General features: G+C 48.9%; 1 protein-coding gene across 21 annotated transcripts in view, besides 5 other annotated features; it reads right to left on the minus strand.

Moving 5' to 3' along the window:
* The window catches only part of MBP (myelin basic protein), a 154,876-nt gene that overhangs the window by 13,436 nt on the left and 125,346 nt on the right, over nt 1-16,094 (minus strand). The window lies entirely within an intron of this gene.
* Nucleotides 517-1,089: an enhancer, noted in NCBI's record as "H3K4me1 hESC enhancer chr18:74704741-74705313 (GRCh37/hg19 assembly coordinates)". NCBI's record gives its function as "activates a minimal SCP1, AML or CMV promoter by ChIP-STARR-seq in naive H9 embryonic stem cells {active_cell/tissue: H9 hESC(naive)}" and the evidence as "EXISTENCE:reporter gene assay evidence [ECO:0000049][PMID:30033119]".
* Nucleotides 5,540-6,040: an enhancer, noted in NCBI's record as "H3K4me1 hESC enhancer chr18:74709764-74710264 (GRCh37/hg19 assembly coordinates)". NCBI's record gives its function as "activates a minimal SCP1, AML or CMV promoter by ChIP-STARR-seq in naive H9 embryonic stem cells {active_cell/tissue: H9 hESC(naive)}" and the evidence as "EXISTENCE:reporter gene assay evidence [ECO:0000049][PMID:30033119]".
* Nucleotides 6,041-6,541: an enhancer, noted in NCBI's record as "H3K4me1 hESC enhancer chr18:74710265-74710765 (GRCh37/hg19 assembly coordinates)". NCBI's record gives its function as "activates a minimal SCP1, AML or CMV promoter by ChIP-STARR-seq in naive H9 embryonic stem cells {active_cell/tissue: H9 hESC(naive)}" and the evidence as "EXISTENCE:reporter gene assay evidence [ECO:0000049][PMID:30033119]".
* Nucleotides 13,201-14,100: an enhancer, noted in NCBI's record as "H3K27ac-H3K4me1 hESC enhancer chr18:74717425-74718324 (GRCh37/hg19 assembly coordinates)". NCBI's record gives its function as "activates a minimal SCP1, AML or CMV promoter by ChIP-STARR-seq in naive and primed H9 embryonic stem cells {active_cell/tissue: H9 hESC(naive and primed)}" and the evidence as "EXISTENCE:reporter gene assay evidence [ECO:0000049][PMID:30033119]".
* Nucleotides 14,101-14,999: an enhancer, noted in NCBI's record as "H3K27ac-H3K4me1 hESC enhancer chr18:74718325-74719223 (GRCh37/hg19 assembly coordinates)". NCBI's record gives its function as "activates a minimal SCP1, AML or CMV promoter by ChIP-STARR-seq in naive and primed H9 embryonic stem cells {active_cell/tissue: H9 hESC(naive and primed)}" and the evidence as "EXISTENCE:reporter gene assay evidence [ECO:0000049][PMID:30033119]".

The raw sequence follows: 16,094 nt of genomic DNA on the forward strand, positions 1-16,094 counted from the left end.
TTAGATTCCCATAAGGAGTGCACAACCTCGATCCCTCGAACATGCCATTCCCAGTAGGGTTTGCTCTCCTATAGGAATCTGGTGCCGCTGGCCTGACAGGAGGCAGAGCTCAGGAGATAATCTCACTCGCCCGCTGCTCACCTCCTGCTGTGCACCTCGGTTTCTAACAGGCCACAGAGCGGTACCGGTCCAGGGCCTGGGGGCTGGGGACCCCTTCTTTAAACGTTTCTTGCCCTCACCCCCAGACTACTAACAGCTCCCCTGCTGCCTGTGAGGCTCCCTGCCCTGCCCACCCTTCAGGGTGAAGCCAAAGCTCTTTGTCCCCTGGGCCCTAACGTGGTGAGGCTTCCTGTCCACCTTCCCAGCATTCAGCACCCAGAGCAGAGCAAGCTTCGGGAAACAGAAGCAACATGGATGTCCCTCTCCTTCCAGTGTCCTGTGGCCGCCCTTGCCTGCAGCAGGAGCCCTGTTATTCTGGGTGCTTCTGAGGGCCCTTCCCTCTGGCTGCAGCCCTGCCAGGAGCCAGAGCCCCAGCCCCAGCTCTCCTCCCACTTGCCCTGGCTGCTGAGCATCCATCCCCTGCCCTGGGCTGTGCCCCTATGCCCTGGCCCCGACCATCTTCCATGTGGATGGGCTGTGCATCCTCTGCCCTGGGCCTTGTGCAGGGTCCTTTCTGTCCACAAGGCCCTTCCTTCTCCCATCTGTCTGAAACCTCCGCAGGGCCCAGGGCAAAGGCATCTCCCATGCATAGGGCCTACTCAGCACTGCGAGCTCTGTTTTCTGCACCCCTTGCTCGTGGCCTCCCCTGTGACAGAGTTGCAGGCACAGCAGGGCGTAACCATGAGCTGCTTGTCCTTCTCTGCACTGGGCCTCATTACTTCCCAACTAAATGCCAGGGGCCAGGCATGGTCCACGTTCTGAAAATACCACAAAAGTGAAGCAGACAAAATTCCTGCCTGAGAGGTTTTGAATGCATGAGGAATGAAAGAGGGATCCCATTTTGGCTGGGTGTGGTGGCTCGTGCCTGTAATCCTAGCACTTTGGGAGGCCGAGGCGGGCAGATTGCCTGAGGTCAGGAGTTCGAGACCACCCTGGGCAATATGGTGAAACCCCTCTCTACTAAAATACAAAAAATTAGCCAGGCTTGGCGTCGTGTGCCTATAGTCCCAGCTTCAGGGGGCTGAGGCAGGAGAATTGCTTGAACCTCTGAGGCGGAGGTTGCAGTGAGCTGAGATTGCACCACTGCACTTCAGCCTGGGCGACAGAGCGAGACTTTGTCTCCAAAAAAAAAAAAAAAAAACAAAAGATCCCATTTTATCCCTTGGATTTCTTAGTAATCAGCAACTCCATATTTTCCTAGTTGTTTTTCCTATTTTGTGCCCTCGTTGGTTAACGATTCTCATTCCTGATGAGACTGTCAACCTCCCTCAGGCACAGAGCGCAGCTCCCATACTCTTCACAGAAGGCCACTGGCGCTCTGCCTGTGGCCGGCGCTTCATGGCGGGTACCCCTCTGTTTACTGACACCTCCACCTTCTCACACACAGAGGAGTGGAGTTTGCACGCTCAGTTTCCTCCCAGGCAGGTGCCGTGGGCCTTTGAACGTGAGGATGTCAGAAGGGCCAGGAACATCGGAGTCCTAGTAGAAATCCCTGATTCTTCATATTCCAACTCATTCTGTCTATGAATGCTGCAAGAACTCAAGTAATTCTCTGATTCTCCTTGTGTCATGTAATATTTTATCGAATGCTTCTCTGCGTTCAGTGACCAGTTGTATTTAGTCACCACTAACCAGCCTTGTACGTTCTTCTCCTCCATGAGAGGGGGTGTGAAATCGTGAATCAAAAAACAAAATGGAAGAGACGGGAAACTCTTTAAACTGTAAGACGTACATCTTTAAGTGCTGTGTCTACCAGACGAAGTTACTTATTAGCTCCTACTCCAGTGGCCTGAAATCACTGAAACAGCTCACAGTCCAGGGCAAGCCACACCGCCTCGGTGTTTGGATAGCATTTCTCCATTTCTCTACATGCTGAACTTTGGTTTTTGAGTCACATAAACATTTCTGGCCTTTAAATCACTCATCCTGTGATTAAACTAGAAAAATGACTTAAACTTTTTAAGTTTCTAAAGAAAAAACTTAGGGTTAGGTTAGGTTTCTAAAGAAATGAATGCTCAGTCACGCTATGCAGATCTCAGAGGATTTTACAACTTACCATGCTGTCAGAGATTCAACGGAGCATTACATAGATAATGCTTCACATGTGAATTATGAATACTTGCTTTGAATGATAAAAGAAAAATGATATATTTTTGAAGGTGACTGTTATAATGAATATATTGATCACTACACTGGTGAGGAAAAGGTAGTTTAAATCTTTTAAGGTACACATGATGTTGGTAGGTTTTATTTGAGCTCTTGGAGCTATTATCGGGGGTCAGAAATGTCTATGAAAAAGGCAGTTGGTTTATTGGTGGTCCTCATACAGAACAAAGAATGCAGTGAGCAGCAACTGTTTGTTGAATTAACATGTAGGCTGTTTAGTTCACTTTTAATACAGAACTGACACTGGTCTTCAGTGAATGGAATAATTTTCATAGGATCATACACATTTTTTGGTTATAGATGCATTGAAGAGTGACTGAACTAGGGCTTTGACTTGGGCTTTTAGCCATAAATCATCAGTTGCCTAGATAATTTGAGGCAGTCTTATATCTGTATTGTTATACCATAGTTGTAATGACCTATCACTAAAAGGACATTTAGTCAATTATATATCTACATCCAAGTAATGAACAATTAAAAAACATTAAAAATTATTACATATAATAGCATCAAGGAAACAAAATATTAGGTATACATTTAGCAAAAATGTACAGAACTTTAAAGCTAACACTAGAAAATGCTGGTGGAAGAAATCAAAGTGAACTTATAGAGAGACATACTATGTTCATGAATTAGAAGACTCAACATAGTAAAACTGTTGATTCTTTCCCCAAATCGATCTACAGGTTTAATGAAATTCCAAATCAAATTCCAGCAAAGTTTTGTTTAGCTAGAGACAGGTGGATTCTAAAACTGTATGGAAATCCGAGGGAGCAAAAATAGCCAAACAATTGTGAAAAGGACACATAAAGTGAGAAAAACACATTACCTGGTTCTAAGATTGACTATGCAGCCATGGTAACTGAAGACCTGTGGTGCTAGAGGAAGGACAGGCACCTAGATTAATGGACAGAATGGAGTCCAGAGATAGACTCACCCAAATCTGACCAGCCGATTCCTGGCAAAGATCATTCAATGGAAAACACTGTCTTCTCAACAAACAGCATTGAAGCAATTGAACATCCATATGTTAAAAAAAACAACGACCACGAAAAACCACTTTAACCCAATCCACACCTTACACAAGATTTAACTCAAAATAGATCATAGATCGTTATCTATGATGTAAAACTATAAAATTTTAGAAGCAGCCATAGGAGAAAAACCTTCATGACCTGTGAGTAGACAAGTTCTTAGACCTGACACCAAAACATCATCTATAAAAGGAAAAAATGGATAAATTGGACCTCATCAAAGTTTCAAAACTTTTGTTTTACAAAAGACACCATCAAGAGAAGAAAAAGACAAGCTACAGACAGGGAGAAAATATTTGCAAATTACGTATCTGACAAAGGACTTGAAAGCAGAATCTGTAAAGGGCTCTCAAGACTCAACCAGAAGAAAACAAACAATTTGGTTTAAAAATGGACTAAACCCTTGAATAAACACTTCAGCAAAGAGGACGTAGGGAGGGTGAATAAGCAGATGAAAAGATGTTCAGCATCATCATTAGCATCAGGAAAACACAAATCAAAACCGCGAGGGGATACCGCACCGTTAGAATGGCTGAAATAAAAAATGCCAACATTCCCAAGTGCTGGGAACGCAAACTGTCACTCCTTGAAACAATTTGGTAGTTTCTTAGAAAGTTAACCCTATACTTACCATATGACCCTGTAATTCCATTTCCTGCTTTAAATACTAAAGGATAAATTACATGCTTTTGGAAATGGCTTCTATAATGAATATATTGGCCACCAATCTTTTGAGGGAAAAGTAATTTAAATTTTAATAAAAACTTATGTTTATACAATAACCAGTACATGAATGTTCATAGCAGCTAAACCCACTAGATTTCACTAAAACCTTCAAACAACCTGAATGCTCTTGAGGGGCTGAAGGGATAAACACACTGTGCTGTATCCAGGCATGAAATACTGTTCGGCAATAAAAATACAAACTCTTGTTACAGGCAACAGCTTAGAGGCCTCTCCAAGGAATCTTGCTGAGTAAAAGCCGCCATTCTAAAAGGTTTCATACTGTGTGGTCTTATTTATATGACATGCCGGAAAAGGCTGACCTATATTGGGGGAGGTCAGAGCTGGGGGGCAGGGAGTGGAGGGAGGGTGCAGTGTGGACCACGAGGGAGGGGGACGTGGGAGGATTTGGGGTTGTGTCCTTATTATGGCGCTAGCTACACAAATCCATACGTGCATCACAACTCATAGAAGTGTACCCCCAAAGCAAGCCCATTTTGTTCATTATTTTGTGAAATAGAATATAGAATAAGGCCATTTAACATGAGCTGTCATTGTACAGCCAGAGATGGAATTCATGGGTGCATCGTATCACTGTGCAAATTTTCTGATTGGCAGTCTCAGGTCTCCCCTGAAAGTGTTGGCCTCTCCTTCCGCCTCGGGGCTCCTACTGCCTCCCCGACCTTTGCCTAGAGCGTCCTCCCCCTCCAAATGTCTCTGTTTTGGGAAAATATAGCCTCTTTTGGCTGCAACCCTCATCTGGCATTGGATTGTCCTTTTTAGCTTTCTGCAAGCATCTTCCCTCTCCAGCTAGATTTTAATCTTTCAGAGGAAAAAAGAAAAACTTCTGTGGGATCCCCAAAGCTCCCGGCATTTGACTCACAAGGTGGAGCTCAGCAAATAGAAAGTGACCAGAGGAACAAAAGCCTTCCATGGCAGCCTTGTGAAAAGAGCTTGCTGCAGGGAGCTGGGAAGCTCCAGCCCGGGCCTGACGCCACCTGTGTGGCCTTCAGCGAGTCCCCTGGGGCCCTGGGGCTTCTGGTTCCTCGCGGGTGAAATGATGGGACTGAAACAGAGAGTCTCCAAGTCTTCGGTTCTAGAATTTTACTGAGAAGCCACCTTGGAAAAGCGGCAAAGCGTGTGAGATCAGCCTCTGGTGAGCTTTTATATTGGTTGTTTCCGGAGACTCCAGACCTGGGTTTTGGTTTATGTTCCTAAAGAGCTTTTGTGCTGAGCACGGGAAGAAAAGCCCAGGAGCACGCCTCGGTGTCAGGCTGGTGACGACCTCGGGCAGGGGACTGCGTGGCCCGCGTGGACGGATGCTGCATCTGAGCCACTTTTTTTTTTTTTGAGACGGAGTCTCACTTTGTCCCCCAGGCTGGAGTGCAGTGGCGCGACCTCGGCTCACTGCAAGCTCCGCCTCCCGGGTTCACGCCACTCTCCTGCCTCAACCTCCCGAGTAGCTGGGACTAGAGGCTCCGCCACCACGCCCGGCTGATTTTTTTGTATTTTTAGTAGAGACGGGGTTTCACTGTGTTAGCCAGGATGGTCTCGATCTCCTGACCTCGTGATCCGCCCGCCTCGGCCTCCCAAAGTGCTGGGATTACAGGCGTGAGCCACCACGCCCGGCCTGAGCCACTTTTTAAAAAGTAATTTTTTTATTGTGGTGAAACACACATAAAACTTACCATTCTAACAATTTTTAAGTGTGCAATTCAGTGGCACACATCACATTCGCACTGTTGTACCAGCATCACCGCCATCCATCTCCACACCCTCTCCAGCTTCCCGAACTGAAACCTGGCCCCCATGAAACACTCACTCTCCATCCCTGGCCCCAGCGTTCAAGTCACTTCTTCTCTATGAACGGGCCACCCGAGGGGCCTCCTGTGCATGGAGCCTGCAGCGTCTGTTCTCTGCGGACGGCTTGGTGCACTTACCGCAGTGCCCTCCAGGCGCCCCGTGCTGCGGCCCCCGTCAGAATCCCCTTCCACCTTCCACCGTTAGGCTGAACGACATCCACGGCACCGTATGCGCGGATTGCTTTCTGCTCATCCATTCACCCTTCCGGGGACTTCTGGGTTGTTTCCACCTTCTGGCTCTAGTTCTCAGTCACCTTTGAAGTGACCCAGGCTCCCCGGAGCCACGCTGATCTGATTTGGCCATGACATTCCCATGCCCTCGGGTGACTCGCAGAAGAGATGCCCGAACGCCCCACCCTCCTTTCCCCAACAGCCTGAAGTGAAGCTGCCGAGGTTCCCTTATTCTTTGAAGGAATAGCAGCACGCGGCATCGGGACATTGCTGCTCTTTTGAAGGTCGACGTGCATTTACATTTATGAGATGAGACGTACACACAGTGTTAGGGTGGCTTGGCTGAGAAGTACAGCCCTGTGTCTGCCCCGCTCTCCTGTGGGTGGCTGGTTGCAGGGCCATGATCTGGGTCTGCAGTCCTTTCATGCAGCCCCTTGGCTCCTTCCTCGTTGACCCCACAGCCCCTTGCTCACCACAAACCCGGCTCAGCTCAATTGTAGAAACGCACCACCTACTCCACGGCTTCCAGTGGTGCAGGAAATGTGATAGATGCAAGGTGTCAGCGGATTTTAAGAGCAGTGTTTTGGGGGGTTTAAGAGCAGTGTTTTGGGGGTTTAAGAGCAGTGTTTTGGGGGTTTAAGAGCAGTGTTTTGGGGGGTTTTTCAATTTATGGGGAGTGGGCACTTATCATTCTGTCACACCTTATGATAAACAGGTTACCTGTTCCTAGGTGGGAGGAGCTGGGAGAAGATGCTAGGCCTTAAAGAAACAACGGGAGGAGGTGAGGGGAGGACGCAAGCTGGGTGGGGCACTTAGGGGGTGAAGGTGAACTCAAGTCACTTCACAGACCAGCCATGGGGGACGCTGAAGCGGGTGGCGCACCCTCAAGCCTTCCCGGAGGAGACCGCTGAGGGCCTGGGCCAGCCTCGCAACCTCCGCTTCCCCCGTCAACCCCATCAGAAGCTCTGAGCTGCGGCCCCAGGAACGCTTGTGACGTATAAGGTCATCCTGAAAGTGAACTGAGAGCTGAACTTCAGCTCTCTAGGACAGAAAGGGTTCCTGCTGTTTAGTTTAGGTATTTTTTTTTTTTTTGAGACAGTCTCACTCTGTTGTCCAGGCTGAAATGCAGTAGCGTGATCTTGGCTCACTGCAACCTCGCTCCTGGGTTCAAGCGATTCTCATACCTCAGCCTCCCAAGTAGCTGGGATTACAGGCATGCACCACCATACCTGGCTAATTTTTGTTCAGTGGAGACGAGTTTCACCATGTTGCCCAGGCTGGTCTTGAACTCCTGGCCTCAAGCAATCCACCCACCTTGGCCTCCCAAAGTGCTGGGATTACAGGTGTGAGCCACCGTGAGCCACCACACATGGCCTGCTTACTTTTTAGGACACACATTTAGTAATTCCCTGATATACTTTTAGTTGTACTCACTAAGGTTTAAAAAAAGCCAAAACTGTGAACATTTTTGGTTATTCATTGAGATTTGTGTCTTCTGGGCCATCCCCAACCTGTTTCAAGTACTGCACTTTCTTTGTGGGTGATTAAAAGCGAGGAAGAGCTAGGATGTCAGTTGCACTATAAAAGAAGAAATGGACACAGGGCCGCACCTTGTGATGTAGACTCAGATGCTGGGGGGCATCCTGCAACCTGTGTTTTGCCAGCTAGAGATGAGGCCAGGACATTTCTGCAAAATTTTTGGCTAATTTGGAGCTGAATACCTGGGACAGCTGAAGAATTAAAAAAAGACCTGATTTTTAAAAACTAATATTTTCTATTGTTTAGAAAAATAATACATGCTCATATGAAGATATCCCATGAAATAAGAAAGTTTGTGGAAAAATTCTACCACCGAAGGATGACCCTGGTTTACACTTTGATGAGCACATTGTTAGATCTGGCTTTGTGCAAAAACACAGACAAAATATGCAAATGCCGTTAAAAGTGATCATACTAGACACACTGTTTTCTTCATCTGAGTTTTCTTGTTTTACTCAACAGTGTTGGGGCCTCTTCCTATCAGTAGAGCTTTTCATCACGATGCATAGAGCAACAACAACAACAAAATGACAAACGTTTGCTTGGTAAATAAAAATAACTTGCTGAAAAGTTTTTAAAATCACGGGAGGAAGACCACGGGTGGCCATTTATTTGTAAAAGAAATTCCTTTTTCCATTAGGCTGTTTGATTGCATGATTTTTGAAGAATTATTTTCCTCAACCTGCGATGATACCCATCACCAGCAGGCGGAGCTCCTGCGCACAGCACCCAGGCTGCTGCCCGCCGCCTGTTTCTCTCCAGAAATCAGGAAGAGGGTTGTTGTTGTTTTTTTTGTTTTTGTTTTTGTTTTTTTATTCCCCTGCTTTCCAATTTGTTTTAAGGCCTGGGGAGCTGGGCGTTCTGAAACTGGGAAGCAGTAACAGATGAGTTGCCGCCCGATGCATCTGAAGATCAGCGGCTGCAGGGCCAAGGCATTTCTTGGCAGCATCATTTCCACTCGGATTTTATTAAAGGAGATACGTTGATGGAGTCACTCCCTCTCAGAAGAAATGTTTACAATTAATTTGAAAAAAGATTAATATTCACGGGTGCCTGGAGTTGGTAAAAAAAGAGTTCAAGCTCTTAGTTCTTTGTCTGAGAGAGGAATTTAATTGCTTCCCTGAATCAACGATCATAAGGTCAATACGTGAAGACCTAGTGAGTTTATGGTTCTGAGCCTGTCCGGGTCCCTGCCCACCCGGTCCCCACTCACCTGGTCCCCGCCCACCGGGTCCCCGCCCACCCGGTTCCCACTCATAGGGTCCCCGCTCACTGTCCCGGACCCTGAAGCTCATCTCAGCCTCCAGGTGGGACCATGCAGGGCTGGGGCTTGGGGGTTCCTCGCCTGCCATCCCAGGCTGGGGTGTGCCCGCGTTTCTCTTCCAGAGGAGAGTAAATCACTAGATACACGGGTGTAGATACACCTACCCAGAAGATCGGCCCAGCGTAGCCTGACAGTCTCCAGCCACTCCGCAGCAGTCCACGGCAGCTAATGAGCCTGCCAGGGTACCCACGCTGCAGTTTTAACAGATGGGCGAGGTATTGGAGGTCTCTACTCCTATTTCACATGGAATCCTTTTGGAGACACAAGGAGAAGTGTGCATTCCTAGAACTTGGATGACTTACTTAAGAAAATGCCCGTAAGAGGCCAGGCACGGTGGCTCACACCTGTAATCCCAGAACTTTGGGAGGCCAAGGCGGGTGGATCACCTGAGATCAGGAGTTTGAGACCTCCCTGGCCAACGTGGCAAAACCCCCTCTCTACTAAAATACGAGAATTAGCTGGGCGTGGTGGCGGACACCTGTAATCCCAGCTACTTGGGAGGCTGAGGCAGGAGAATCACCTGAACCTGGGAGGCGGAGGTTGCAGTGAGCCGAGATCAAGCCACTGCACTCCAGCCTGGGTGACAAAGTGAGACTTCATCTCAAAAAAAAGAAAAGAAAAAAAGCCTGTAAGAAAGTTCCTGCTCATCTACACCCTCCCCTCATGATAGTGTTCTTACTGACACAGCCACGTGTTGGAACATCTTCTAACTATCATTAGAGATGATCTGCCTCCTTTCAGATCACACATATTAACACAGTACATTTTGTTTCCCCATTTGTATTGATTATGTGCCAGTTTTGGGGAAGTGGGTCAAATAACTGAGTGTTGATAACATCTGCCCCATTTTCCCACCTGATGGGATGGAGCACAGGAAGTTGGCTCCATGTGGAGTTGCCGCCTGGAGACCTCTGGCCTCTCGTAAACCTGGAATGGTGCGTTCTCATGGAGGCAACCACGGCAGGGTCCCATGCACCTGGCTCTCTCCACCTGGGCCTCCCATTAGGGCCTTTGCTACAGAGATGCACCCATCAGCACTCGGCTGTGGAGCCTTAGCAAGCACCTGTTCTTCCCTTTGTCGTGTGGTCCATGATGTCATTGCAGAATGACACGTTAGAAAAATGTCTCTTTGTTAATGTATCTCAATATGCCCAGAGAGCAGCATCTACCATCCAGTGGCTAAATGCAGTAGGGATTTCCTTATGGGCATTGTCTTAATCAAGTAAGTGGTCCAAGTTCTAGGAATGTACATGTTTTCCCTGTGTCCCCAAAAGGATTCAATGCAAAGCCAGAATAGAGAAAGCAAGGCGTCTTGGTTTTAAAACACGAGGTGTGATCGTAAACCAAAAATATCATTCAGCACTGCTCCCACGTCACCACTCATTTTACAGATTTGAATATTGAGATGCACAGAGGTTCAGGGAGCTGCTCGCAGAGGCTGCTAGCTGTCTAGGGCTTGAACTTTAGACTGCATGCCAAGCGAGACTCTTGTGGAGTGAACGTAGGATGAGAGGCTCACGTTACCCACCTGAAAGTCAGCGGCCTATGGGGAAATTCACTGGCTAGTCATAGGAGAAAGGGAAAAGGGAAGGGAGAAGAACGGATTTTTAAATTGTATTTTATTACAAGAATTTGTAGACTTACCTTGTAGTAAGTTATGAAGCTATTGGCTAGAACTAACAGTGTGCTCACAGACGAGAAAAATAAACTAGTATCTGTAGACAAAGTCAATGACATATGCCAGTTAGTGTCTAGGGAATGAGGGAAGCTTCAATTGCTGCTGTTTACCAAAATAATTGGGAACTAATTTTCTAGTAAACACTGATGGATACAATAAATGCCAGTGTAGTTAATGAGATGAGATTTTTCAATTTTCTCTGTCATTTTAAAAGACGCATTTCTATGTAATTAAAACAAAGGGCCCATCAGTTCCTCCTTTCAGTGGAGAGTGATGCCTCAGGACTGACAGATGGCATCGTCTGGACTGTCCTATTTTGTCTATGTGACTGAAAACCAACCAACCAACATATCTCCTGGTCCTTATTCCTTTAATTTCCAGGTTGCACATGGCGGGTTTTTGCACACATCCACAAAGCGGCATTCGGGACCTCTGCTGTTCATTTCGACGGTTTCAGCAGTGGCCCTGAGAGTGAAGGGCGAATGAATTTGCTTTTTACTCTTTTTACCTCCCAGAGTAATATTTGATTCTTCTGGCACTCTCAGGAAGTGCAGATACCAGAGAGCTCAGAAGTTAATCTGAAAAAACTCAGAGACAGAGAGCTCAGGGATGAATCTGTGTGGCCTGTTCAGAACCACAGAAGATAGTGGTGTCACTGTTTTTCTGAGCTGCCATGATAAGAAAGAACAGAGGTATATTTGATATAATTTTTTTCTTGTGAAAGTGATAATATGCTTCTTCAGTATATTTTTTGAATTAGGAATCGTAAAATGTAGTTCTAGATGAAATAGATGCACCTTTTCTGCCATTTTCCCTACATCACACTTCTTTTGTGGCTCACAGAGATCCTTGACATCCCCAGAAACCTTGTTTAAGTGATTAAATGATCCTCCTTAAAGATGCTCAAAGGAGACAGTCACCTACGCAGCATCTTCCTTTCTCTCCAGGGATCTTCTGTTATTCAATGCGTGCGTATTTTCTACCTAAAAACCGGTGGGAGTGGGAAACAGCAGACCCCCTGCAAACTATCTGAAGCTTAGGGTCATGGTATCTGTTTCCCATGGAAACTGGAACCAGCAGCTAAAACAGGCACCAGTGAAATCAGTATTATTGGACAGAACATGGGTGTCAAAGTCTGCAAGGCTGGAGATGAGACGACACATCCGACTGTAAATGGTGGGCCATGCTGTCTCCCCTTTTCTTACTCTCCATCCCCCTGACTTCATAATGCTCTGGCAATTCCGAGAAATCACAGAACACTGTGGTTCTCTTTTCAATACTAGTTAAATACTAGTTACAATACTAGTTAAATAATAGCTTCCTCTGAAAAAAAGCACATATATATATATGTGTCCCCCCCCACTCCCCGCCGCAAGGAAGCTATTATTCGATTTCTGGTCAAACAGCTCCTACCATGCCTCAGGAGAGTATGTTAGATTTTTTTTTAAAAGCAAGATCAGGGCATTTTAGATTTTGCAGTTTGGAGAGAATTCTTTTCTGTCTGAATGACAGATGCAGTTTTTCCTGTGTTTTTGCCCTTTGCCGGGTTGAAGATTATGTTTATTCCTGAATCATCGGCTCGCACGAGTTAATGAAAGTCACGGGCATTTACTTTCTTTACAGAAAGCTGTGCACCATCCAGAATAGCGGGCTTTTCTCTATGTCTGAAAAAATTCACAGACAAGCCTTTCGTTCTGATGCAGATTTCAGGTAACCTGAGGCTGTTACCTCAGCTCCTTGCAGAGGATGCAGCTCCTTGCAGATACTGGGAATGAGAGCGCTGCAGGGTGGCGGCCGCTGGCGCCCGTGGCTTGTGTGTGTGGTTTCCCTTCTGGTGCCCTACTCGGGAGGTTGTTGCTTTGCCCCATGACAGGAAGGATCAGCGTTTCTCCTCTTAGCAAACTGTGAGGCTGGATGCAGAGATTCAGATACTGCTTTTGTAGATGTGGTCGGGGCATATCTGGTTGTGTTTTCTCTCCCATGTTTCATGGGGAAGTGAAGCTCCCGTGGCCTCCTTTGGGGGCCTTTGCCTCTGTCCGCTGGTGATACAGGGGTCGGTATCAGAGACCTCTTGGCACGAAACCTTGTGGGACCCACATTGGGGCTCTGGCTCTGGGCACAGAAGGATACAACAAATCAAAGTTCGGCAGCCTGTGCTTCTGCCATTAAGTAAACCCTTTCAGTGGCTGCATTTTTCTGATCTGGGTTTAACCTCAAAGAGGAAGAGCTTTGACGCCGGGTTCCAGCTTCCTCATCCTGGTGAGTGTGCCGAAGAGGGAGAAGCAACGGAGGTGGACAAACGGCACCTGTCAGAGGCGAAAGCTGCTGTCAGATTGGCGAGGAAGTCCTTAAAATGGTTGTGTGCTTTCCGCCGGGTGGCTGTGCCATGGCCTCTCTGGTTGGCACCTTGATGGCAGCCCGCCCCCAGGTACCATGTTGCCATGGCGTCTCCATGCAGGAGCACACCCTTCATGACCACAGCTCCGGGAAGCAGGGTCTCTGTTCCTTGTCCCGAGAGACCCACGGAAAAAATTCCTCTTCCTCATGGCAAGAGGGACTCCTCTCCCACGGGGGAGGCTCAGAGACGTCTGTTTCCCAAACGCAGATGACTCGGAGCTGATGGCCAGAGAGTGAAGTTCTAGTCCAGCTGCCCCAACCATGGGGCTTTTGAGGCTTGATTACCATTTCCTTCTGAGAATGGTGGGAGCAGGGATTGATATGAGGTTCACCGCTCGGATTTTCATTTTACAGTTTCGGAAACTAAGGCCCCAGCACAGAAACACAGAGGACCCAAAGCTACAGCCTTGAGGGGCAGAGGGGCCAGGGCCAGCAGGGCTTTTAGAGCCAGCACTGCCCTCCCCAGCAGCTCTGAGGGTGGCCAGGCCTCTTCCAGAATAGCACGAGTGTGGAGTGGCACTGGGGCAGGGTTATGATGACACCAATGTTTTCAGAGGACGAGGCTCCTGTGGGGCCTTTGCATTGCTTTTCTTGCTTGATCAGCACAACGTTCCAAAGCATCTGCAGGACAGGTGACGCTTTTGCCACCATTGCTGTTTCACAGGAGAGGGAAGGAAGCTCAGAGAAGACAGACACCTGCCCCAGGTCCACGGCTATGACGCAGTGCCATGAGACCTGAGCCAAGCATTTTTGGTTCTTCCTCCTGTGCTTTCCCATGGCACAAAATGCTTTGCTTCCTAAACGCCAGTGTGCTGGGTGATGGTGGATTCAGAGGCAGGGCAGGTCTTTCCAGAAGCCTCCATGGGCGCCAAGGCTGAGGGGTGGACAGTGTCCTCCAAGTCAGGCCAGGAGCACAAGGGTCTGTGAGAAAGAGGCAGAAAGGACGTCCGAGGACTCGGAGACAGTGGCTGCTGGAAGCCCAGAGCAGCCCCTTCCTGCTCAGGTCAGTGTCCTGGGCCCCAGGCCGAGCCTGGAGCTTGGAGGAGCTGGCACCGTTGGCGGGGCCGAGAGGAGCCGCCCTGCCCGGGGCCACCTTTCCAGCTGCACCACTGGCGCCCTCACTCCAGCCTCCAGTGCAGGCCCAGCACCGGGTTCCAGGGACCTGCAGCACGGGATGGACAGGCAGGCGGGCAGGCAGGGGCTGAGCAGACAGAGGAACTGCAGAGAACAGTGGGTCCACTTCCCACGCAGCCATTCCCCATCGTGCGTGTTGCTCCTCTCCCCTCAGAATCCTTGCTTCCCCAGCTTGCTTTTGGGTTCTCGCATGTCGCAATATTCCCCTACTGTGCTCCCGCTGCCTGCCTTCCAGTCCTCAAAGAAAAGAGCCCTGTCAGCCCCGAGAGCACCGGTGTCTCTGGGAGTCAGGGAGCTCGGAGCAGGGTCCCGTGCTGGAGGGGGCACCGCAGCACGGGAGCCAGGCTGTTCTTTGCCTTGTTGCCTATTTCATAGCTGGGGTGTCTCCCTTACCCTCCTGGTGTGTTTGCACAGAGAGAGAGAGGGAAGAGGAAGAGAGAGACACGAAGAGGGAGGGAGAGAGGGGGAAGTAGACAGACAGAGAGACAGGGAGGGAGAGGACACAGGGTGAGGTGGACCCAGGCGGAGGCCCTCTGTTCAGCTCGCGTTTCTCAGCCGCAGGGCAGGGAGTTCTTGGTTCCGACTCTGCTGGTTCCTGGCACTGCTCAGCCTGAGCCTTCCACCCAGCTGCTTCTGTCTCCGTTGGGAGCTGACTTCAAGGGTCCTTTGTCATGGAATCCCTGCATTTTAAAATCCCTCTGTATTTTAAAACCATTTAGTGCCTCCGGCCTTGCAATTCCTTCTTCCGTGGCTGGTGCCCTCACAGCCACTTTCTTGCAATAATAAAGCATCCCAAAGTACCGGAGGAAGGCATTCTAACTCAAAAGCTCCTTCTCAGGGACGAGAGAGGGAAGCTCCTCGCTTATTCTTCCACTCAATATGCAAATGGCGTGGGATTGCCACCGTCTTCGGGCAGGGGCACCCCTGGGGGCTCTCAGACCAGCCCGCCTGCACCCTCTGTGTGCACCTCCTGCAGAGATGGCCTCTGTGAGCCAGGCATCGCCGGCCCCTGCTCAGGGGGCTGGAGGGAGAAGTTGAGGCCTCTAGCACGCATCCCTGGGAGGGTTCTCTGTCCATTAAGAGCAACGCTGGGAGCCCACACAGCCTGCCCAGGCTTTAGTTTCAACTTACGCTTATCTTCATTTTCCCTTCATTCCATAGACATGTAAATACCACACACACCCCCACACAAACACACACGCACACACACCCCTACTGCTTTTCCTATCTGGACCAGAATGGGGTGTCCACAAGTGCACAAGTGCTGAGCACAAGGAGCTGAGTCCTGGAAGCCTGCAGACTTTTAACCACCTTTCCGCGTGTGTCCTGGAGTGTGAGCCTCAGGCAGCCACGTGGACAAAGCGTTGTGTAGAGGATTTACTTATCTTTGGCCAGGATTTTAAAGGTATATGCAAAACCTGTCTAGGATGAAACTGTGGAGAACAGAAGGGCTGCTTTTCCCTGCTAAATAATTTTTTTTAGAAGAGGAATGAAGCATTCTGTTGAGTTTCTTACTATGATCTGGATACCAAAGCCTGGGACTCTCATCCTCTCCACTCTGCTTGGCTACACGGGGTTTCTGGCAGAGGCTCCATCTCTCTGTGGCCAGGGTCCACTGAGGACAGCGTGCCTCTCGTGGAGCAGGGAACGGGGTAGGGGCCAAGCCGCTACCTGCCAGCGCGTCACACACTGGGTGCTGTGCCACCCTTAGCTCACCCCTCCCACACATCAGATATTCCTGCACACACAGTGAAAATCCTCCTTCTCGCCAGCACTGCTCTCCAGGGCGGGGCCGGCAGGGTCGGTGCCTCCCAGGCAGGGGCTGGTGCATGCAGCCCCATCTTGGTCTCAGTGAAGCCCAGGTGGCCACAGCCCCAGTGCACCCCAGAGAAGAGGCCTCCCAGAAG

The sequence above is a fragment of the Homo sapiens genome, chromosome 18 (genome assembly GCF_000001405.40).
Source record: "Homo sapiens chromosome 18, GRCh38.p14 Primary Assembly".
Taxonomy (NCBI): Eukaryota; Metazoa; Chordata; class Mammalia; order Primates; family Hominidae; genus Homo; species Homo sapiens.